The sequence below is a fragment of the Homo sapiens genome, chromosome 6 (assembly GCF_000001405.40).
Source record: "Homo sapiens chromosome 6, GRCh38.p14 Primary Assembly".
Taxonomy (NCBI): Eukaryota; Metazoa; Chordata; class Mammalia; order Primates; family Hominidae; genus Homo; species Homo sapiens.
Genome location: NC_000006.12, coordinates 43,126,241 through 43,150,218, shown reverse-complemented (window position 1 = coordinate 43,150,218; position 23,978 = coordinate 43,126,241). Strand labels below are relative to the sequence as shown.

Sequence of the window (23,978 nt, the reverse complement as noted above, 5' to 3'; positions counted from 1 at the left end):
AGAGGCCTTCTGTTTCCTGCCACGGCATCTGACTGCATAAAGCATGGTCCACCAGGTGTGCTAAGCTGATCCTGCTTCTCATCACATCATTAGTTCACAAGTGATCCATGAAGCAATCACAGATTACAGCTCTCTGATATCATCTTATCAGCTACTCTAAAAGGCATTACCTACCATTATGCCAACACCCAGGACCCATGTCTTTGATTTCTGTCACTAACTCACTGCTCTCTTAAAATCCTCCTGAGGCTCCCCTCAGCCCACTCACACCCAATATGGCACTTTGGTGCCAACTCTAGCTGGCCAGGGAACACCCTGCCTACCACTCCACCTCCCTAGAATACTTAAGTTCAAGACCAGCCTGGACAACATGGCGAGACCCCCATTTCTACAAAAAATAAAAATAAATAAAAAGAGGACAGGATAGAAAACATCAAGTGCATCAAACACAACATTGTGAAAGTTTAATTTTAGTTATATGAGCCTGCACACCAGATCATGAGTAAAATGCATTTCTTTTTTGTTGTTGCTAAGTGATGCAGGTCTTGCTATGTCACTCAGGCTGGCCTCACTCCTGGGCCCAAGGGATCCTCTGGCCTCAGCCTTCCAAGTAGCTGGGATTACAGGCACATACTGCTGCACCAGCTTAAAATGCATTTCCTAAAAGGGATTATAATCAAAAAGCATTTCAAAGCTACTAGTCTCCACCAGGGCTCCTTGAACTTTAATGAGCTTAGGAATCAGCTGGAGAGCTTGTTTGAAAAATTCACATCTTTAGACCTCACTCTCAAATACTCTAATTCCCTCATTCTGAGTCATGGTCCAGAAATCTTTTTTTTTTCTTTTGAGACAGGGTTTGACTCCTGTTGCCCAGGCTGGAGTGCAGTGGCAAGATCTCAGCTCACTGCAACCTCTGCCTCCCAGGCTCAAGCGATTCTCCTGCCTCAGCCTCCCGAGTAGCTGGAATTATATGCACGTGACACCATGCCCAGGTACTTTTTGTATTTTTAGTAGAGATGGGGTTTCCCCACGTTGGCCAGGCTGGTCTCAAACTCCTGGCCTCAAGTGATCTTCCCGCCTCAGCCTCCCGAAGTGCTGGGATTTCAGGTATGAGCCACTGTGCCTGGCCTGCATTTCTTTTTTTTTTTTTTTTTTTTTTGAGACAAAGTCTTGCTCTTGTCTCCCAGGCTGGAGTGCAATGGCACGATCTTGGCTCACTGCAACCTCCATCTCCCGGGTTCAAGTGATTCTCCTGCCTCAGCCTCCCGAGTAGCTTGGATTACAGGCACCTACCACCACACCTGGCTAATTTTTGTATTTTTAGTAGAGACGGGGTTTCACCATGTTGGCCAGGCTGGTCTCGTACTCCTGACCTCGTGATCTGCCCGCCTCGGCCTCCCAAAGTGCTGGGATTACAGGTGTGAGCCACTGAGCCCTGCCTGTTTTTTTTAAAAGCATCCTCTCTATGTAACGCAGAGTATGGTCCTTGGAGAGTGTAGAACCCAACTTATTAAAGTTCCCCCATCATATTTAAGACACTATGGCAAAAAAGTGTGAAAAAGATATTTAGCAAAGATGGTGATGACTTGCAGTCAAATAGAGTCCCTTAGGTCACATGAGAAAGGTAACTGACTTCCTGTCAGCCTATGTCTCATCCCAGCCAGAGAATCCCACCTTGACTCCCCTGACTCTTGAAGCCATCCCCTTTCTGCCATTCAACTACATCCTGTCCTTGTGAACTAAACTCAAATGGTTTTCTCTACTAGGAAGACTTCTTTGTTAACCACAACCATCTGTCCACCTACAGGACATGGGTGTCTTCAACATCTCTTAATGCCTCCCACTTGCTTTCTGTTTTACCTCAAGTCTGTAAGGCACAGGTCATACTCATGTACCTAATCTCCTCACTAGATCATAAGTGCCCCAAGGGCAAGATGCCTGTCCTTTCCCCCCCTCCCCTCCCTTTGAGACAGGATCGTGCTCTGTTGCCCAGGCTGGAGTGCAGTGGTGTAATCATGGCTCACCGCAGCCTCGACCTCCTGGGCTCCAATGATTCTTCCTCCTCAGCCTCACAAGTAGCTGGGACTACAGGCATGCCCCCACGCCCGGTTAACTTTTTTTTATTTTTTGTAGAGACAGGGTCTTACTATGTTGCCCAGGCTGGTCTCAAACTCCTGAGCTGAAGCAATCCTCCTGCCTTAGCCTCCCACCGCACCTAGCTGATGCCTGTCTGTTTTAATTTTGCATTCCCAAGGGCCCCTGGGGCCACACCTGGCTCAGTGAGGAGTCACTGGCTCTGTGAGTGTCCTAATTTGTGAGCTCTTTAGTCCTGAAATCTCACTTAGCTGGTGTAGCAAGTCCCATCCTGTGGCTTCTCCTCTACAGCCACTATACACAGTTCCTGCAGTTTCATGGGGAAGGAGGTAGGGGTGTGGTGTCAGGTGGCCAGGTCACTTGTCCTGTCTGGGTCTTAGTAAATTCACATGTAATAAGAGGGGGCCAGCCTGAAGGGCACAGAGCTGCTTCCCCAGAGAGATTGGGGGCAGCCAGGGTCCCATTCACCTGATTCATCTGCCAGCCATGCCTTTCTGCTCTGCCTCCAGAGTCTGTGACCTGGGACAGCCTAGCAGGCAAGGAATGGTCCCCTGGGAGAAAGGGCAGAGCCTTCTGCCTACCCTGCCCTGAGCTCTGATTTGGTTTATGAGGTCACTTCACTGCCAGCTTGGAAGCAGACTCTCCAGTCACATGGAAGGAAGTAGATCCATTTCAGAGGGGAGAGGAGGCAGCTGTGGGCAAGAAGAACCTGAGGGAAGGAAGAAGGGGCCGGGCCACAGCAAGCCCCAGGCACTGGAAAGGTATGGACTGAGGTGGCAGGGGGTAGCAGGCAAGCTTTCCCTTCTTCACTGTTTCAACCAAGGTCTGCTCTACCACAGGGGCCCCAGCCAGGGCTCTGTGCCCAGAACAACCTCTGCGCAAAAGGCAGGAGGAAAACTGGAATGAAAGGCTGGGCAGCTACAGCCCAAGGGAGAGGACAAGATGCAAACCACAGAGGGGGAAACCCAGGCAGCCCATTCACAGAAGAGTCTTCTCCACTCAGAGCTGAAGAAACACGCTCAGGCCCACAGCTAGCCCAGCAGGCCCCTGCACTAGGACTGCTTGCTGCTTCTCCAGCTCAGAGCTCATTGCAGGTGGGCAGGCGTCCTGCTCCAATGCAAGCTCCTGCCCAGAGGCAAGGTCCGAGGGTAGCTCTTCTCCGTGAAGCCAGCATGGCAATGCAAAGCCACTTCCAGGCTACATGACCTGGGACAGGTCAGACAACCTCCTAAGCCTCAATGTCTTCATCCACAAAATGGGGATAGTAGTATATATTTCAGACGACTACCGTGATAATTACAGTAACACATGTGAAGTTCTTACCATAGGGCCTGGCCCATAGAGAGCCCTCAATAAATGGTGCCTCTGTTGCTCCTGGCCCACCCCTGGGCACCCTCTCCCTCCCTCCTTCACTCCCTGTCCTCACCTTCTGCTTGGTGCTGAGGGGCTGTGACTTCAATTTTTCATCCTTGCTCTTGGAAATCCTCAGGAACTGCTTGAGGTCTCCCTAAGGGAAAAGCCAGGCATCTCGCTCAGGTCAGTGCACAGCCATTGGCTGTAAAGCCTCAGACCAAGCAGGTGCTCGCAGAATTCCTGCCTGGGGAGGCAGTGAGAAGGCCTAAGCTAGCCTGGGCCCCTTTCCCAGGGGGAAGTTCACTGGGAGTGCAGAACTTTAAAAATATATAGGAGACGCCTCCTAGAGGCTGTCTCAGTTAGAAAGGAGGAGAATTGGCATTTCTACCCCAAGGGGAACCTCCAGACAGGTGGGGCAACAGAGCCCCCATCTTCAGTGAGCCAAGAGGAAAACAGTCCCCTACCCTCTGCCCTCAAAGATTCCTGAGAGGAAACCCCTGTCCTCCAGAGCTTTACAATCTAATCTAAACAAACAAAGGAGAACGCCAGCAGCAGAAACATACATAAAGCATTCATAAGTACTTGTTTGTTTGTTTTTAATTTTTTTGTAGAGACAGAGTCTTGCTATGTTGCCCAGGCTGGTCTCGGACTCCTGGCCTCAGGCGATCCTCCTGCCTCAGTCTCCCAAAGTGCTGGGATTACAAGTGTGAGCCACTGTGCCCAGCCGCGTAAGTACTTGTTAATGGAAAGACTGATAGGACTCCTGCCCGCTCTTGCCCCAGAACTAGGGATTTGAGAAGCAGCAGTTTGAGGACCATGGGGTGAGGGCAAGGACCAGCTGGGGAATGAAGAGGAAGGCGCAGCTCTGGGAATGACACCCTGAGTGGAGAGGAGAAGGCTGGTGGCTGGGGTAACACTCATGTCACAAGTGGTGCTAGGAAGGAGGGAGGCAAAGTGGGTTCTGATATATTTATTCTCAAGTGGGGACAAGCTTTTGGGGAGGAAAAAATAACAAACCAAAGAAAACAAGAGTCAGAGAAGATGACCTGGAAGGCATCCCTGCAGTGTGACAGTGAGAAGTCCCAGAAAAACTTAGGACCAACGCCCCTGAGATACAGATGGAAAGACTGGGTGCTGATAAAGGGAAAGCAGGCATCCAAGAGCAGGGAAGGCAGAAGCTGAGCATCATAAGGTGGGCAAAGTGTAACAGCAGGCAGGTGAGGTCTCGGCTGAGACTGCACGAGACAAGGTTTTCACGGTGCTCCAACCACTGACTCCCACCTTTGTAGGACACTGCCCTCCCTACCCGAGACCCCCACGTCCCCTGCCAACAGCATACCAGATCCACATATTCCAGCACCATGTAGTGGGGCTCAGCCTCCCGGCACAGCCCCAGGAGCCGCACCACGTTGGCGTGGTTCAGCTTCCCAAACATCTCCAACTCCCTCCGGAAGTCCAGCTGCTGCTGCTCATCCTTGCTCTGCAGGCTCTTCACAAGTACCAGGGTCTCTGCCACTCCCTCCTCCAAGCCCTGAGCCTTTGCCAGGAACACCTCCCCAAACTCACTCTTCCCTGTGGGTACAGTCTGAGTCAGCCAGCCACCTTCACCCAGGCCGAGGCAGCTCCTGACCTGGGGGAGGGGCCTAGCCTCTCCCACAGTGGGGACCCACCCACCTGGGCTGGGCACGAGACCCGGTTCTGCTGTGACCCCCTCCCTCCTTAGGCTTCAGTGTCTGCAGCAACAAAATAAAAGGGTGGGACTAATATTCAGCATTTTCCAAAGGGTGACTCGCATGAGAATTTTTGGTGGCTCATGGTAAACATGTCTTAACGTATGCTAGGAAAAAACGTAACTATGACAAACCCATGATTTCTCATATTTTTTCCTAGAACAATGGTAACTTAGTTTTTTTTTTTAAAGAGTCAATTTAAATAAAACATCAAGTAAATAATACTACAGGTAGTACACAGGAATGACAAAATCTGCACGAAGGGCAGTGAATAACAGGCTCTGGGGCCACACTGGGCTAGATCTCTACCTATGCTTCCCTCCACCTCTAACATTCTAGGTTTCAGGGACTTCAGAACACTAGCCCGTACCCAGCCTCAAGACACAGCGGGTGACTTGTAGTTAGGCAGGGGCAGCTGTAGTCAAGGCAACATACCCAGCGTGGTGATGGGCTGCAGGCTAGACCGTGGGAAGTGCATCTTATCACTTGTGCTGTGGCGTTTGTTGGTGGCCGCGGGGCCGGAGCCCAAGCTGGTCAAGGCCACTTCTTCTTGGATCTCTGCTGAGGGCTGCCCGTTCTGCAAAGGCCCACCTGGGAAGGAGGAGGACAAGAGCGTCACGATGAGACCTGACACTCTGGCCACCATGGGGATTTCTGTTCTGTCCCCTGGTCTTCCACTCTTGCCAACTTGGGTCCAATCACAGTGCTCCACATGAAAGGGCAAGCCCAAATGATGAAATAATGGGGCTGGGGCTGGGTGGGGGATGTATGGCTATCCCCTAGGGTATGACCCCTTAGTGATGCAGCTGATTATGACCTCTGAGATGAAGCCAACTGCAGACATCTAATCTGAATCACTGGTCCTTAATACCATAGCTACACATAAGGATTTTTGCTTTCATGGGGCCTCCTATTGGGCAAAGCCCTAAACAGGCACAAAGGGAAAATCACAATAATGGAGACCCAACCTCTGCTCCTGAACACCTGAGCTGATAGGAGAGACCCAGCAATGACCTCAAGGAGCTCCCAGTCCAGGAAGTGGGGATAGGAGAAGGGAAGTAAACAGAAAGACTGCCCCTGGGGGAGCTCTTAGACTCATAGAGGGAGACAAGACATGCAACAGCAACGTGTGTACATATACTAATGATATCTGTGGTTTTGTGCTGGGAGGAGGAAACAGCAGGGAATCATAGGAAGCTGGTCCAAGGGGCTCCAATGAAGAAGTCTCAAGCCAGGTTGCTCAGAAGACGAGGCCCTGGGAATCCAACTCCAGGCTTCCCGCTAGGGGTGGGGCAGTCCCAGCTCCAGGACCCAGCAACAGCCGCTCGGTTTCCAGAGTGCTGGCGCTCTCCCCTCCGTGGCCGCGGGAGGGCGCTCAGCTCCCGCACACGGGCACCACCTCCCCGTCCAGGGCCCCTCACCGTTGAGGCATTCCATCTCTGGCTCCTCGCCCTCGGGCTGCTTCTGCAGCCGCTTGGCTTTGCAGCGCTTCTTGCAGTAGAACATGAGGCCCAGCACGGCAATGATGTAGGCCACAGCGGCACCCACCGACAACCCAATGGTCTGGATCATCTTGTAGGGGGGAGGGCTGCCAGGGCCCTCCGACTCCTCCGGCACAGGCTTGTCTGAGAGACACACAGATGGGTCTGGGCAGGGGCTGCTAAGCAAAAGAAGCCCTGCTTCTCTACTAACTCCTCCCAACCCCATCAACAGGGCAACTTAACAGATGGCCCGGGAGGGTCACCACCTTCACTGGCTTTAACAAGGGCCAGCAGGTCCTCATGCCCCACCAAGGTCAAACGAAGACTCTGAAGGAGATGAGGCCAGGGGTTCCCAAGCTGGCTTTGCATCGGAAGCCAAGACAGGCGACACGGATAAGCACACCTGTCAAGGAGCTACCACAAACCCACGTTATTTGTTAAGCTTCCCAAGTGACTTGATAATGTGAGCCAGGCCCCGGAGAGCAGCATTTGGGAGCTTCAGGTTTAGAATTCCAGGCACTGCCTGGCACAGAGCAGGTTTTTCAATAAGCAGATCTGTAGAAGGGATCTGCTGGTCTAGGGGCCTTTTAATGGCCCACACTGAGGGGCCTCAAGAGGCATTAGGGGAATGAAGGGAGACCATGCAGGATCCCCCAACTGCCACACACACCCCAGTGGCTCCCACCAAGGGGGCCTCCTCAGTTCATTTTCATCCATTTAAACTTTCACATTATACTTTGTCTAGAAAAATAACTCTGCTGCCAAACCAAGAAAGTTTAAGAGCTTCTCATTTAAACCACTTTCACCTGTGGATGCAGAAACAAGTCCCCAGAGGAGAAATAAGTCTCCCAGGGGCAGAGAGTTAAGTGCAGGGCCTTTTACCTGACCCATCATCCTCTCTGGGCCTCCTGGAGAAAAGAACCTTGTCCTACTGCATTCTGACCTGGTCCTCCTCCCCAGCCACCCAGAGATATGTGTGGCTGCTGCAGGAACCTGGGAGGCAGCATTGTAGGAAGAGAACACCCCCCCACTCCCCCACAACACACACACACACACACCGACCGTTGGATGTTAAATAAACGACAGCCCGGCTCTGAGCAAGGACTCTAAGACTGTGCAGCAGCATGGTGAGACGGCCGAATCCCCACCGCTGCCACAAAAATGGCTTCTGTGCCATGTTCTGTACACAGGGGCTGAGTACAAGGTGACAAACGTCTGGGCCCACCACTTCCTGTGCAGCATAACCCTCCCCAGCCCATACCCACGACATAGAGGGGGGCCTCCGTGTGCTTGATGTTGCAGCTGTTGCCTGCAATGCAGGTGTAGCGGCCTGAGTCCTCAGGGGCCACGTCATGGATCACCAGGGAGCCATTCTGGAAGATGTGCATCCTGTCGGGGGAGAAGCCATAGTGCTGGCCAGCTCGCAGGGAGGGGGGCTGCAGGAGAGGAGGGACGGGTGTGGGAGAGAGGTGGCCCTACCTGGGTCCCAGCTTGGTGGGGTCCAGGATGCGGTCCTTGCCTTTCCACTGAATCAGCGGCTTGGGGTCCCCCTGGGCCTCGCACTGCAGTAGGGCTGTGTGGCCCTGGTACACAGTCGTACGCTCTGGTTCCACTTTGAAGGTGATAAAAACTGGAAGAAAAGAGACCAGCGAGGCGCAGGGAGGGGTAAGCCAAGGGGCTGGCAGGGTACACGGTGCTACCCCAGAGGGCCCTCCCAGCCCCAGGGCCCTGCCACGGTCGCACCTGCCACAGTGAGCTGGACATGGGCACGAATCTGGCCCTGCGGCCCGTTGGAGGCAATGCAAGTGTAGTTGCCAGCGTCATCTCGAGTCACCCGGGCAAAATGCAGGGTCCCAGCGTTGTCTGTCACCCACTCTGGGAGGCTGCTCCCATCTGCAGGGGTAACAAAGGGAAATTATGGGAAGGATCAGGGTTACACAGACAGCTGGCAATGCCTTCAGTCCCTCACCTCTACTCAAAAACACACCATCGCTCCTGACCACCCACAGGCAAAGTCCAAACTCCTGAGCCAAGTGTTAGAAGCCCCTCCGTTATTTACCCCTCTTCCAATTCTTCAGTCTCACCTCTTCCTCCTACTGCCCTGTGTGACATTCCACGTCTGCCAAACCGGACTCTGTTTGGGCCCAGATCGGCCCTGTTCCTACTCCGCTGCCCATCACTTCTCCCTCCTAGAGCCCATTCCCGCTCTTTACCATCCCAGGCTGTAGATCCATTTTAAGCCTCACCTCTCCCAGAAAGTTCCCCCAGACCTGAGCAGAGGGAGCCTACTTCCTCCTCAGAATCTACAACTGTACTCTCTCACTCTAGGTGGAAATGTCAAAATTGGTCCAACCTTTTAAAAAATAATTTGGCAACTCACATCAAGGGCTATAAAAATGTTCATACCCCCTTTCGTGCATAATTATCCCAATTCTGGGAATCTTTCCCAAAGGAAATAAACCTAAATCCAGAAAAAAACTTTGGCTTAAAGATGTTTATTGCAGCAATGAAAAAAAAGGGGGTGGGTGGGTGGCTGGTTAACAACCCAAATCTCCAACATTTAAGGAACAGTTAAGTAAATTACAGTGAATCCAATTGTTGAAATATTATTAGGATCATCAAAACAAATATTCATGAAGAGTGTATAAAGATGTGGGGAAATGCTTGACAATGGTAAGTAAAAAAGGGTATAAAATTACACCGTTACAAAAAAAATAAAAATAAATAATTTTAAAAAATATTTTTAAAAACTACATAGTTATCTGTATTGTCTAATTCTACAATAAGCATGTCTACAGGCATGCACCACCATGCCTGGCTAATTTTTAAATTTTTTGTACAGACAGGGTCTCCCTGTATTGCCCAGGTTGGTCTTGAACTCCTGGGCTCAAGCGATCCTCCCACCTCGGCCTCCCAAAGTGCTGGGATTACAGGCATGAGCTACCACACTCAGCCAATCATGTAAATTTAATAACTGAAACTATATATACAATAAAACTGCTAGGTAAAAAAAGAAAAACATATGCACAGAAAAAGAAGACATACACCCAAAGATGATAAACGGCAGGACTGTACATTTTTTCTCCCAATATTTTTTTTTTTTTTTTTGAGATGGAGTCTCGCTCTGCCACCCAGGCTGAAGTGCAGTGGCACAATCTCGGCTCACTGCCACCTCCGCCTCCTGGGTTCAAACAATTCTCCTACCTCAGCCTCCCGAGTAGCTGGCACTACAGATGCGTGCCGCCACCCCTGGCTAATTTTTTGTATTTTCAGTAGAGACGAGGTTTCACTACTCTATGTTAGCCAGGATGGTCTCTATCTCATGACCTCGTGATCCACCCACCTCAGCTTCCCACAGTGCTGGGATTACAGGCGTGAGCCACCACGCCCGGCCTCTTCCAGTATTTTGTAAAGGAGCCCATGTAACTTTTGTTTCTTTTTTCTTTTGAGTCAGAGTCTCACTCTGTCAGCCAGACTCTGGTGCAATGGCATGATCTCGGCCCACTGCAGCCTCCACCTCCTGGGTTCAAGCGATTCTCCTGCTTCAGCCTCCTAAGCAGCTGGGATTGCAAGCATGTGCCACCACGCCTGGCTAACTTTTGCATTTTTAGTAGAGATGGGGTTTCACCATGTTGGCCAGGCTGGTCTCAAACTCCTGGCCTCAAGTGACCCACCCATCTCGGCTTCCCAAAGTGTTGGGATTACAGGCGTGAGCCACTATGCACGGCCTCCATGTAATTTTTATGTTGGAAAAGATAAACTATTTTGGAAAAGGGGAAGAGAGGACTTTACAGCACTGTCTGAACCAATCCAATCACTTGTTGCCTTGAGTTGTCTTCCATGTTGTCCAAGGCTATAATCTGACCTCTTCTGTGTCTGGCTTTTTCCTTCCTAACTAAACTATACATCAGCCCTGCACTGCTTGTCTAATCTCCACATTTCCTGGCACAGTGCGGGGCACCCAGCAGCCCTCAGGTATGTATCTGATCAGTGAACTGCCTGCCTGCCCCTACCCTATGCCGGCACTGTACCCACCTGCCCGTTCCCACTTAATAGTGGGCTTCTCTCGGCCTGTGGCTGAACAGGGCACCGTGGCCTCCTTGTCAAACTCCATGCACTGCTGTGGCTGGGGTGGTGGTGTGAACTTGAGCTTTTCTGTTTCAGCAGAGGGTGGGTAGAAAGACGAGGAATTGGGGCCGCTGGAGAGGCCGTGGCCAGGCCTGCTGCTCCCTCCCCTTTCCTCTCCTGCCTAGCCAGGAAGGGTGCTCCCCCAAGACATGCTGGCTCACCCAGCACTTGGACACGGGCTTGCGCCTCGATGCTGCCGGCTGGGGTGCTGCTCATACAACGGTACCATGTCCCATCATACACCTCCACGCTGTTGATGCGCAAGGTCCCATTCTTGAAGACCTCGAACCGTGAGTCCTGCAGCACAGGTGAGAGGCCTCAGAGCCTGAACCCACACCCACCTCTCCCTGGAGGCTGCCTCCAGGGTAAGAGTGCTATGGAGGTGAGCACAGAAGAGGGCAAGTGGAGGGAAGGCCCCGCCCATCCACTAGCAACACTCTTCTTTCTCACCTCTGAGATGAGCATCTGGTTTCTGTACCAGACAACTGTAGGTTTTGGTGTGGCCTGGGTCAGGCAATCCAAGTAGCCGGGTTTGCCCTCCTCCAGCTGGCTGTCTTGGGGCTTCTTCAGCCAGGAGGGCACAGCTAGACAGACAGGAAGGAAACAGTGAAGGCTGCTTCACAGGTCTCCAAAACTAAAGGATCCATCTCCAAGAAATCCTACTACCATTCTAGGCCCTGAGTTCAGAAGCCCCATGCTCCTCAGATGGCAGGAGTTTCCCTTTACGGAAGACCCAGGTGCCAGCACCTTTTTTAAAATTTTTTTTCTTTTAAGACAGGTTCTCACTCTGTCACCCAGGCTGGAGTAGAGTGACACAATTATGGCTCACTACAGTCTCGAACTCATAGGCTCAAGTGATTTTTCCCACCTCAGCCTCCCAAATAGCTGGGACCACAGGCATGCACCACAATACTTGGCTAATTTTTTTATTTTCTGTAGTGATGGGGTCTTGCTATGTTGCCCAGGCTGGTCTCAAACTCCTGGCTTCAAGCCTCCCCAAGTGCTAAGATTACAGGCATGAGCCACCACGCCCGGCCACCAGCACCTTTTGAACATTATCTTAGTTAACTGTCACATTAATTAACTTAGTTAACATTATCTTAGTTATAAGCCCCTATGGTAGGCAGGGAGTGGTGGCTCACACCTGTAATCCCAGCACTTTGGGAGGCCGAGGCGGGAGGGCTGCTGTAAGACACTGCACTCTAGCCTAGGCAACAGAGTGAAACCCCCATCTCTAAAAAAACAAAAAAAACAAACCCCCCAAGGTATGTATTCCAACACGCACTTTACAGCTAAGAAAACAGATGTTCAAAGAAGTAATGGTGGCCAGGCACAGTGGCTCACGCCTGTAATCCCAGCACTTTAAGAGGCAAAGGCGGGCAGATCATTTGAGGTCAGGAGTTCAAAACCAGTCTGGCCAACATAGTGAAACCCCGTCTCTACTAAAAATACAAAAACATTGGCCGGGTGTGGTGGCGGGCACCTGTAATCCCAGCTACTGGGGAGGCTGAGGCACAAGAATCGCTTGAACCTGGGAGGTGGAGGTTGCAGTGAGCCGAGATCACGCCACTGCACTCCAGCCTGGGCGAAAGAGTGAGACTCCATCTCAAATAAAAGATAAAAAATAATAATAACAATAATAAAAAAAGAAGAAGTAATGGTGATTTGCTAATACCTAATAGTGACAGAATTTAAAACTCTGGTCTATATGACTCTGAAACCCTTGTTCTTCTTATTACACCATAAAATGCCAAGGCGCAGTCCTCAGAAATCTGTTCTGTTTTAGCAACACTCACTCATCCAGTCCACAACCTTCAATACAACATGAATGGTTGGTTCCCAAAACTACATCCTGATTCCTATAAATCCAATTGCCTACTGGCATTTCCAACTGGATATCCAACAGGCATCTCAAACTTTACGTGTGCTAAAGAGAACACCTGACTTCCCCCAAAACCTGCTCACTCATTTTCCCTATCTCAGTCAATAGAACTATCTAGTCAGTTAAGAAAGCCAAAAAGCTAGCCTTGTCTTCTCTCTATACCCCACCCCCATCACACTCGTTCTACCAAACCCTATCTACTGGGGCTCCTAAATATATCCTGAATTTGACCACCTCTCACCCCCACCGCTACTGCCTCTGTTCAAGCTCCTTCAGTATCTCCCCTAGACTATTATAGTCATCTACTTAGTATGGGTCTCCTTGTTTATACTCTTGGCCCTAACATTCTAGTCTCAAAACAGCCAGAGCGATCTTCTGAAAAATCAGTCTTCCACTCAAAACCCTGCAAGACCTTCCCATCCAATGTGGTGTGGTAGGCTGCTTGCAATGATAGTTATAAACAATCCTCCCATCCCTTTCAACTCTTTTCAATGTGATGTTGACACTTTCCCATCAAGAGGTAGAGTTTATTTCTTTTTGTGTGTGTGAGACAGGGTCTCATCCTGTTACCTAGGCTGGAGTGCAGTCACGCCACTATGGCTTACTGCAGCCTCAGCGTCCCAGGCTCAAGCAACCCTCTCACCTCAGCCTCCAAAGTGGCTAGGACCACAGGCGCGTACCACCAGGCCCAGCTAATTTTTTTTTTATTTTTAGTAGAGACGGGGTCTGGCCATGTGGTCCAGGCTGGTCTCAAACTCCTAGGCTCAAGCAGTCCTCCCACCTTGGCCTCCTAAAATACTGGGATTGCAGCGTGAGCCACTGAACTGGGTCATGGTGTATTTTTCTAGTCCCTGGAATCTGAGTGGCCTGTGACTTCCCTTGTCCAACAGAACACAGTGGTAGTACTGCAGCTTCCACTTTTGCCCTCTCGGAACCCAGCTGCCAGGTGAGGAAGCCTGGCTAGCCTACTGGAGATGCCATGTGGAGGAGAACTAAGGCACCCTGGTCAATAGCCCCAGTCAACTGCCAGACAGGTGAGTGTGGCCGCCAGGGACCAGGCCAGCTCACCCATCAGCTGACTGCAAACGTGTACACCCAGCCGATAGCACACCAGGTAGACGAGCGGGCCCACCTGAACCTGTCCACAGAATCATAAGCATGTCAACGGCTGTTGTTTGTTGTTTCAAGTCACTACGGTTTGGTTTTTTTTTTTTTTGAGTTGGAGTCTTGCTCTGTCACCCAGGCTGGAGTGCAGTGGCGCGATCTCTGTTCACTGCAACCTCCACCTCCCAGGTTCAAGCGATTCTCCTGCCTCAGCCTCCCAAGTAGCTGGGATTACAGGCATGTGCCACCATGCCTGGATAATTTTTTTTTTTGTATTTTTTATTTTATTTTGAGATAGAGTCTCGCTCTGTCGCCCAGGCTGGAGTGCAGTGGCGCAATCTCGGCTCACTGCAACCTCCGCCTCCTGAGTAGCTGGGATTACAGGCACATGCCACCACACCTGGCTAATTTTTGTATTTTTAGTAGAGACGGGGTTTCAGCACGTTGGTCAGGCTGGTCTCGAATTCCTGACCTCGTGATCCACCTGCCTCGGCCTCCCAAAGTGCTGGGATTACAAGGCGTGAGCCACTGCACCCAGCCATTTTTGTATTTTTAGTAGAGATGGGGTTTCACCATGTTGGCCAGGCTGGTCTCAAACTCCTGACCTCAAGTGATCCACCTGCCTCGGCCTCCCAAAGTGCCACCACGTTTTGAAGTGGTTTGCTATGTAGCAATGGATAACTGATGCCGAAGCCAAAGTCCTTACTATGCTTTTACAAGGCCTATGGGATTTAGTTTCCACCTCTCAGGCAACTTCAACCCCTCTCACCATCGTTTATTCAACTCAAGCCACACAGGCGACTACTGTTCCTCCAACATACAAGCCCATTTCCATCTCAGGGCCTATCACATGGCTGGCTCCCTTCTTAATTTAAATACCAACTCCAATGCACCTTTTACAGAAGTCTTCCCTAAACTCTCACTGGCCCTGCCCTTTCTCTATCACTTGCCCTATTTCATTGTTCTCCCTTGTTCTACTGGCACCTAAAATTATATTTGTTCATTTGATAGTTTTTCTTACTGGCTTTGTCCCCGCTGTTAGAATATGAACTCCACAAGGAGAGGGGCTTCTGCCTGCTTTGTTCACAGTTGCATCCAGTACTGGGAAGAGCTAGCACAAGGTGCTCGACAAATCTCTGTTGACTGAATGCATTCCCAGAGCTCTCCGTCTTCTGGGCTCTACCCTCTAACACCCAGCACCTGATCTGGCCCTGTTTGCATCACACACTCTCAAATGCCACAGGCCTCCTTCTCAGAGCACAGCAAGGGACACTGGCATGGCTCAGTGTCAGCCTCAGTCAGCATCTGTGGAATGACTGATCAAAGCCAGAGTTCCCCAACTTGAACACACATGAAGTATCACCCAGAGCACTTGTTAAATACACATCTACCTGGGTCCCACCCCTAGAGCCTGGGTTGGAAGCTGTGGAGTGGGGCCCCGAATTCTGCATTTTTTTTCTTTTTTTCAAGGCTCCAGCAATGTCTTAGACATTTTTTTGGAGACAGGGTCTTGCTGTCATCCAGGCTCCAGTACAGTAGTGTGATCATAGCTCACTGGAACCTCCAGCTCCCGAGCTCAAATGATCCTCCAGCCTCAGCCTCCCAAATAGTTGGGATTATAGGTGTGCATCACCATACCTGGCTAAATTTTTTTTTTTTTTTTTCCTGAGACAAAGTCTCGCTCTGTCACCCAGGCTGGAGTGCAATGGCACGATCTCGACTCACTGCAACCTCTGCCTCCTGGATTCAAGCAATTCTCCTGCCCCAGCCTCCCAAGTAGCTGGGATTACAGGTGAGTGCCAACATGCCCAGCTAATTTTTGTATTTTTAGTAGAGACGGGGTTTCACCATGTTGGTCAGGCTGATCTCGAACTCCTGACCTCGTGATCCACCCACCTCGGCCTCCCAAAGTGCTGGGATTACAAGCGTGAGCCACCGCGCCCAGCTAACTTTTTAAATTTCTGTAGACACAAGGTCTCACTATTTTGTCCAGCCTGGTCTCAAACTCCTGGGCTCAAGAGATCTTCCTATCTCGGCCTCCCAAAGCACTGGGATTATAGGTGTGAACCACCACGCCTGGCCTGTGTTTTAAAAAGTATCCCTAATGAGGCCGGGCATGGCAGCTCACACCCATAATCCCAGCACTTTAGGAGGCCGAGGCAGGTGGATCACTTGAGGTCAAGAGTTTGAGACTAGCCTGGCCAACATGGTAAAACATCGCCTCTACTAAAAATACAAAAATTAGCCAGGTGTGGTGGCACACACCTTTAAACCCAGCTACTTGGGAGGCTGAGGCACGAGAATCACTTGAACCTGGGAGGCGCAGGTTGCAGTGAGCCAAGATCACACCACTACACTCCAGCCTGGGTGACAGAGTGAGACTCCGTCTCAAACAAAAGAAGAAAAAGTATCCCTAATGAAAGCAGGTGATTCTCAGACCTCAACTGGAGGAAGGCTTGACTGTGCATCTTGCCTTTGCACCTGCACTGTGAGTGTCCTGAGCACTCGTTACACATGTGCTGTGATTCCCACCCAAATCACGGCCTGAGTATAGGTGCATGTCTTCTAAGATTTCAGTATCCTAATGGGAATACTAGCATCACAACTTCACATTTACAAAGCCACTTTCATATTCAAATCTTTTTGCAAAGTTACCCACTCGGAAAGATAATAGTAACATAAAGGTAAGTGGAAGAAGCAGATTGCAAAATAGTTTGTATGTATGTGTGTCTCTGTGTGCATATTGTAATTTTTATTGTGTATCCTTTTAAACTACCACAAAAGGTTTGGAACAAGGCATGGTATAAAGAAATAAGTAAACAAATAAATCCCTATGCCTGTAGTGAGGATATAAGGTTTGTTTTGTTTTGTTTTGAGATGGAGTCTCACTCTGTTGCCCGGGCTGAAGAGCAACGGTGCGATCTCAGCTCATTGCAACCTCTGCCTCCTGGGTTCAAGCAATTTTCCTCCCTCAGCCTCCTGAGTAGCTGGGATTACAGGTGTGCCCCACCACGCCCAGCTAATTTTTGTATTTTTAGTAGAGATGGGGTTTCACCATGTTGGTCAGGCTGGTCTCCAACTCCTGACCTTGTGATCCGCCCGGCTCGGCCTCCCAAAGTGCTGGGATTACAGGCATGAGCCACCGCGCCCAGCCTGATATAAAGGGTTTATCATGTGTACTTTCAGTCATATGTCTTGCTTTTCTCCCCCTCTTTTTTTTCATAAGTAATATGTTTAGTAAAGAAATTTGGAAAGCATAACAAACTAAAACAAATTAAAAATCACCTATAATTTTGTCCACTATTACCTCCCAAAAAAGAAAAAAAGAAAAATCATTTTCATCTACTTCATTTGACCTTTCCAACCACCTTGTGGGGTAGGTAGTAGATTACTGGCTCCATTTTATGGATGAGGAGACTGAACCCCAGTAAGGTGGGTGATTTGCTACCATCGTCACTCTGTGCATTGGGAGCATAGTGGGACCCAGGTCTCTAGATTCCTAGTCTATTGCTCTTTCCTCTGTACCCAGAGGACCATTTTTCTGTGAGGGCTGTCACTATTTCCTCTGGAGCACCCACCCTAACCCCTGTGCCTGGCTCTCTACTGTCTACACCGACTCCCAGTAGTGAACTGATTCCCAAGCCTGCAGGGCCCAGAACTGAGAGGACCTCAGGTGAGTACCAGGGAAGCCTCTGTCCATCACACCCAGACCTGTGTTCCCCTCCACCTCTCCTTGACCTTCAGGGCAAAGGTGCTCACTGGCCACAGTGATGTTGACATCCTGTCTCCGCTGACCAGCCAGGTTGGCCGCGTGGCAGGTGTAGACACCAGCATCACTTTCAGCAATATTGGCCAACACCAGCTCGTGGCCCTTCTGGTAGACCCTGCCATGGGTGGGCAGCCGGACTCCCGCGTGCTCCCACCACACGCTGGGCTCTGGCAGACCCTTGGGGGGAAGGCAGGTCACACGCTCCTCGCTGCCAGCTGTAAACACCCGTGGCTCAAATAGCGGCATGTCTTCAATCTCTGCAAGGACATAAGTAGGAGGAATGGCCCAATTATTGTGGGTCTCAGGGTACATGATGTTCTCCCACAGCAAGCCTAGGCCCTTTCCCAGCACAAACCCTCCCCTGCAGCCCTCTGCATATCCTCTTCCTACTCCCAGCATCCTTTTCTTCCCCTGCCCTCCAAGCGGCTGAGTAAAAACAGAAGCCTAAATCTCTATGTGCCAAAAATGTTAAAGGCAGCCTCCCACATCAGCACCCCAGACCCAGAGACTCACCTGCTAGGTGAAGTGTGGCTTCCAGGATGATGGGTGGGCCCCTCTGCCCCTGGCCAATGCAGCGGTAGATCCCTGCATTGCGTGGCCGGACCTGGGTCAGCAGCAGAGACCCGTTGGCAAACACTGTGGCTCTGCGGAGGTGTGGGGGGCTGCAGAGGGGAGAGTGCAATTTGGAGAAAGTGGCCAATAGGCCTAGTTCTGGAAAGGAATGCAAGGGAACCCCTTTCCTGCAAAGTCGGAAATGTAGTAAGGAATCGACCAGGAACAGGGCAGAGAGAAGGAAGCTGACACTCCAGACTGGTGTGTGTGCCTGCATACACTTGCTCAGGTGCACGTGCAGGTGTGTGTTCCAACTACAGGAGATCAGCTCGGGAAGCAATGAGGCAAATGGCAATGCAGGTGCGAGAGAGAGTGATATGGTTTGGCTGTGTCCCCACTCAAATCTCATCTTAAATTGTAGCTCCCATAATTCCCACATGTTGTGGGAGGGACCCAGTGGGAGGTAACTGAATCATGGGGGCAAGTCTTTCCCGTGCTGTTCTCATGATAGTGAACAAGTCTCACGAGATCTGATGGTTTTAAAATGAGGCATTCCCCTGCAGAAGCTCTCTCTCCTTTGCCTGCTGCCATCCATGTAAGACGTGACTTGGTCTTCCTTGCCTTCTGCCATGATTGTGAGGCTTGCCCAGCCATGTGGAACTGTAAGTCCAATTAAACCTCTTTCTTTTGTAAACTGCTCAGTCTCGGGTATGTCTTTATCAGCAGCATTAAAATGGACTAATACACAGAATAACCACCATGTGCAACTGTCAAGACAGGGAAGCCACCTTCCCACAGGGCCACGTTGATAGGGCACCCAGCTCCAGGGTCAGATACCCCTCAGCCATACCAGGCAGGCTACTGATGATGTCCTCAGGGCTGAAGCCAAGTGGCATCCAAGCCCCTAGCCTAGGAAGCCACACCCCCAAGGACCATGGTCGTGCCTGACACTGCAAAGGTGTTCTATGTTCTCCTAGGGTCCAGGCAAGAACAGAAGTCCCTGCAGTAGGGCTGGAACCTTCTAGAGGTGTTTGCTTCCTCTAAAAAGTGTGTGTGTGTGTGTGTGTGTGTGTGTGTGTGTGTGTGTGTGTGTGTGATGTCTTTGCCACACTGGATCACGCTATCTAGACTATGACCACCTGACTACCTAGGTCTCTTGTGTCTCTCTCATCCCTGGGGTCTCTACCCTTCCATCCCAGAAGACCCATGTGGGTGGTGGGGAGAGAGAAGTGGAACCATCACTAGCTCAGAGTGCCTTTGTGCAAACTGGAAAAGGGCTCTTCCCAGAGACTCTTCCCTGTGTCAGACTCATCTTGTAAAAGCAAAACATTCAACTGTGTCTCTTGGAAATTTGAAATAATACATGTACAAATCTGTGATGTCTGTGATACAAATCGCACCCCCTTCTACAGAATGCATGTGTGTGGTACATGGTACTGGAATGCTCCCAGCCAGATGCCTTACCGACTGCGGTTAGTGATGGGAGTCTCATCCTCAAAGAGCCACTGCAGGCTCGGGGGTGGCTGGGCTGAGAACTGGCAATGGAACATGGCCTCCTCATACCTCGCTACTACCACGTCCTGGGGTGCCAGCACCACCCTGGCAAAGCTTTCATCTGGAGAGGGAAAGATGGGGGAGCATGCAGCCTGGGTGGTGAGGCCCTCCTGTGCTCACCTCATCCCTTCCGCCCCCACCCCAGGCTCACCAGCAATGCTCAAGGTGAAGTTCTGGCTGCTGCAAGCCTGGCCAAAAGCACTGTGGGCGCAGCAGGAATACAGCCCACTATGCTCAGGACCAGCTGGCCGGAGCGTCAGGTTCCGCTCCTTGCTGCTGACTGTGTGGTTGCTCTGACCATCAGAAAGGGGGGTCCCATCTCGGAACCATTGGTAGGTGGGCCTGCAGGGCAGACACAGTCAGCAGTGGTGGGGAGGGGTACTCAGTGGCCAGTGGAGAGGATACAGTATCAGAGGGTCAGGGCTAGACCTTTCAGTTTATACATGGAGAAACGGCCTGAGGAAGGGAAGGGACTTGCAAAAGGGCACACAGTAATTCTGATTCAGGGGCAGAATCAAGTTGATATTAGATCTCCCAGCTCTACACACAATGTGGCTCACTCTTCAGGCCACCAGGGGCCGGCATAGGGCAATATCTGGGGGAGGGCAGGGTGAAGAGCACTGTGGTGGTGGAACGAGTGGTCACAGAATGGAGCGAGGTAACATCCGCATAGAGTCCAAGATTTGGGGAGACATCCCTGTCCGGAATAACCCTCTTCATCCCCACCTCCCTGACTCCTTACCGAGGGTGCCCATCAATGTGGCAACGAAGTGTGACCTGGGTCTGTGGCTGGATCTCAGCTTCCGAGGCTGGATGCTTCAGGACCACAGGACCTGCCTCAATCCCTGTAGCAGAGGCCACGGTTGCAGTGAGGGGCAGAGCAGGGCAAAGGCGGGAAGGCAGAGGGCAAGGAGGACAAGCAGGAAGCCGTGGAACCTCGAGGCTCTGTGCCAACAGACACAAGGAAGCCCTGGAGGCTGAGGCTGGGGCTACAGTTACCAGATACTAAGTGCCTGCCTGGTCCCTGGCAGGTCAAGTCTGACACTTGGCCAAGGGCTCGGCCGCCCTTTCCATTTGCACAAGCATGCAGCAGATAAATGGGTCCCAGACTTGAAGGAAAAAATTTTGGAAAAAATATAACTTTTAATTTCCTCTTATCCACATGAGCAAAAAAAGCTGATGATAAATGCATTCTGCCTGGCCCGTTTAACTGGAAATGGGAGAAGCTGAGGTAAGGGAGGGATCCCCCAGGCCTCAGTCATTGAGGGTCTGACAGGGGGACTGGGCACAGCCCCCCTGGCTCTCACATTTGATGTTGAAGGAGGCGTTGGCACTGCGGGCTTCTTCTCCAGTGACATCATCCCGAGCCACACACTGGAAGGTGCCAGAGTCCTGCAGCCGGTCCACAGCTGCAAAGCTCAGGCTGCTGCCCTGGGCGAAACGCCGCTCCGTGTCCTGGACAGGGGCCCCATCGAGCAGCCAGTACACATGTACCGGGCCCGGAGCCTCAACCTCACAGCGAAGCAGCGCCCGGCGCCCCTGCAGTGCATCCTGGGAGGACGGCTGCTTGATGAAGACAATGGCTGTCTGGGTACCTGTAGATGCAAACAGGGGAGAGGCAGGGTCAGGGGGAGCTGCAGCCTCTGTCCTAACACAGGCCACCTTGTGCACAGGAGGAAAGGGGCTGTGTACACAGGAGGCGTCCAGTAAGTGCAGGTGTGAAGGATCATGATGCCACAATTGCAAGAGTCCCCTGAAAAACTTTTCTTTTTCTTTTTGAGATTTCTTTTTCTTTTTTTGCTCTTGTCACCCAGGTTGGAATGTGGTGGTGTGATCTCAGCTCACTGCAACCTCCACCTCCTGGGTTCAAGTGATTCTTCTGCCTCAGCCTCTCGAGTAGCTGGGATTATAGGCATGAGCCACCACACCCAGCTAATTTTTGTATTTTTAGTAGAGACAGGGTTTCGCCATGTTGGCCAGGCTGGTCTCGAACCCCTGACCTCAGGTGATCTGCCCACCTCGGCCTCCCAAAGTGCTAGGATTACAGGCGTGAGCCACCACGCCCAGCCCCCTGAAGAGCTTTTCAACTGTGCTGAGTGCTCTGTAGGATACAAAGACACAGTAGCCTCTCCTCAAGAGGTCTGAAGACTAGAGGGGCACACAGAACACAGTTACAGTCACATAAATGCCAAATGAATGGGGTGGGCAGGCAGTAGTGACTTGAGCACGAAGGAAGAAGGGACCCCTAAGGGCTGGCTGCACAGGGAGGCTTCCTAGCAAAAGAGAGTCTGGGCCTGCAGGGTGAGATCACAGGAGGTTTTGATGCCAGGCTGAGGAGCCGGGGACACTGCAGGCCACCTTCCCCCAATACAGACTCAGGAGGTTTAGTAAAGTTAAATCATGACCCAAACAGCACCCTGGAAAGATGGCTTCACTCATGCCCCTCGACGGTGCCAGCATCAGAGGTGGCCACAGATGGGACGCTTTGAATCTCATCCGCAAATGCTCTGCAGCCCAACGTTTCCCAGACGCTTCTTTGAAAAAACCCAACCCATCACTGGAGAAGCCAAGATTCTCTAGAAACCTGGGCTACTGCCAAAAACAAGCCAAGGTCATTCCCATGTCCTGTTCTTTTTTTTTTTTGAGACGGAGTCTCGATCTGTCACCCAGGCTGGAGTGCAGTAGCGCGATCTTGGCTCACTGCAAGCTCTGCCTCCTGGGTTCACGCCATTCTCCTGCCTCAGCCTCCCGAGTAGCTGGGACTACAGGTGCCCGCCACCACGCCTGGCTAATTTTTTGTATTTTTAGTAGAGATGGGGTTTGACGGTGTTAGCCAGGATGGTCTCGATCTCCTGACCTCGTGATCCGCCCGCCTCGGCCTCCCAAAGTGCTGGGATTACAGGCGTGAGCCACCGCACCCGGCCCCATGTCCTGTTCTTTATCCCTGAAAATCCATCTGTGGCCAAGGTCAGCTTCTCTGTGTTAAGAGGAGAGCCATGTGGTTCCAGAGTTCCACTTGAAGTCATTCCCCTTCCTGCACCATTATAGTTCAGCTCTGGCCACAGGGTCCCCGCAACCAAAGGTGGAACTGCAGTCAGTGGGAACAAAGGAAAGAGGAAGAAGCCTACACTGTATGGCAGATGGGTTTAGGGAGGCGGAGGGCAGAGCCGGGCAGGTGGGTGGCATGGTTACGGCGGCGGCAGGAGCAACACACTGGACTTTGTTCCTAGCCCGCGTGGGCGACTTGCAGAGGCCTGGAGCCACTGGGCCTTGAACACAGAAGAGGACTCCCTGATCCCCCCGCCCCCGGAAGAAGAAATGGGCCACCTGGAACTGCTACACGAAGCAGCAGGCTCTGCCTTGAGCCAAACTGGCTGGGCAAGGGCAGAAAGGTACTAACGGAGTCTTTTCCATCCCTTCCCAAACCACTGGAAACTAATCTTGGCCTACAGAGCCCCTTCCAAGTCCCTGGAGGTGGGGTTCTGTTCTTTATGGCATGAGAATCAGTCTCCTCATAAAGTCAGTGTCAAGACAATTCCAGGATCCCCCAGGCTGGGTCCAGATGAGGGGCTGCCCCTGGTGTTGGTCCGTCTCCCAACATGCTCATAGGTGCCAGCCCACATCTCCTGACACAAAACCCAGTCATGGAGCTGGAAGCAGCTCCAAGCAGCCCATTACTTCTCAGCGTGGCACTGATGGTTCTCTGGGTGAGCTATTCCACCTGCTGTGCAAGTTAACAAATCTGCCCTCCCGGCATTGTGACAATTCAAACACATCCCTACACATTTCCAAATGATCCACAGGAATAGGGCTCTGTTCCTGCTCAGCACCGTGGTACAGATGGGTAAACCCAGGTCCAGGCACAAGAAGGAATCTGCCCACGATCAAATAGCTCATATGTGGCAGAGCCAGGACTATGACCCAAAGAAACCAACTCTGTGCTCTTCCCATCCCCGCCCAGGGACTCAGAAACAACCCTGGAAGCATCTGATCCTACAATGAGGAGTCACATTCCCGACTGCCAGGTAGTGTGTGGACACACCTCTTGCAGACAATGTCAGGCACACAAAGGCACCCAGCAAGCACTGCCTGAACCAAAGTGACCTCTGAGGAAGCGTGGGGCAAGAACTGGTTCACGGGGTACTTCTGGAGCACCTCTCATGACACAGATGGGCAGAATCAGACTGAGTCCCCAGTGGGCCTCTGCAAATGTGACTCACCAAAATCCTAGGACCTTTCTTTTTTTTTGAGACGGAGTCTTACTTACTCTGCCACCCACGCTGGAGTGCAGTGGTGCAATCTTGGCTCACTGCAACCTCCACCTCTCGGAT

At 51.5% G+C, this 23,978-nt stretch overlaps 1 protein-coding gene across 10 annotated transcripts in view, besides 3 other annotated features; it reads right to left on the bottom strand.

The window, feature by feature from the left end:
• Positions 1–23,978, bottom strand: part of PTK7 (protein tyrosine kinase 7 (inactive)) — an 85,402-nt gene that overhangs the window by 11,497 nt on the left and 49,927 nt on the right. For 2 of the 10 annotated variants that reach the window (NM_002821.5, NM_001270398.2), the window contains exons 2-17: positions 20,955–21,242; positions 20,390–20,492; positions 19,799–19,989; positions 19,558–19,708; positions 18,055–18,203; positions 17,532–17,798; positions 11,237–11,370; positions 10,948–11,083; positions 10,694–10,813; positions 8,402–8,551; positions 8,138–8,288; positions 7,920–8,047; positions 6,599–6,802; positions 5,613–5,768; positions 4,787–5,019; positions 3,521–3,601 (exon numbers count right to left, since the gene is read on the bottom strand). In NM_002821.5, the coding sequence (NP_002812.2) occupies positions 3,521–3,601; positions 4,787–5,019; positions 5,613–5,768; positions 6,599–6,802; positions 7,920–8,047; positions 8,138–8,288; positions 8,402–8,551; positions 10,694–10,813; positions 10,948–11,083; positions 11,237–11,370; positions 17,532–17,798; positions 18,055–18,203; positions 19,558–19,708; positions 19,799–19,989; positions 20,390–20,492; positions 20,955–21,242 (2,642 nt within the window). The remainder of the gene's footprint in view (positions 1–3,520; positions 3,602–4,786; positions 5,020–5,612; positions 5,769–6,598; positions 6,803–7,919; positions 8,048–8,137; positions 8,289–8,401; positions 8,552–10,693; positions 10,814–10,947; positions 11,084–11,236; positions 11,371–17,531; positions 17,799–18,054; positions 18,204–19,557; positions 19,709–19,798; positions 19,990–20,389; positions 20,493–20,954; positions 21,243–23,978) is intronic. The other 8 variants (NR_072998.2, XM_047419157.1, NM_152880.4 and 5 more) reach the window with 5 other exon arrangements.
• Positions 6,704–6,793: an enhancer, noted in NCBI's record as "active region_24592". NCBI's record gives its function as "activates an Ori minimal core promoter by ATAC-STARR-seq in GM12878 lymphoblastoid cells {active_cell/tissue: GM12878}" and the evidence as "EXISTENCE:reporter gene assay evidence [ECO:0000049][PMID:35858748]".
• Positions 17,153–17,652: an enhancer, noted in NCBI's record as "H3K4me1 hESC enhancer chr6:43100305-43100804 (GRCh37/hg19 assembly coordinates)". NCBI's record gives its function as "activates a minimal SCP1, AML or CMV promoter by ChIP-STARR-seq in primed H9 embryonic stem cells {active_cell/tissue: H9 hESC(primed)}" and the evidence as "EXISTENCE:reporter gene assay evidence [ECO:0000049][PMID:30033119]".
• Positions 17,653–18,154: an enhancer, noted in NCBI's record as "H3K4me1 hESC enhancer chr6:43099803-43100304 (GRCh37/hg19 assembly coordinates)". NCBI's record gives its function as "activates a minimal SCP1, AML or CMV promoter by ChIP-STARR-seq in primed H9 embryonic stem cells {active_cell/tissue: H9 hESC(primed)}" and the evidence as "EXISTENCE:reporter gene assay evidence [ECO:0000049][PMID:30033119]".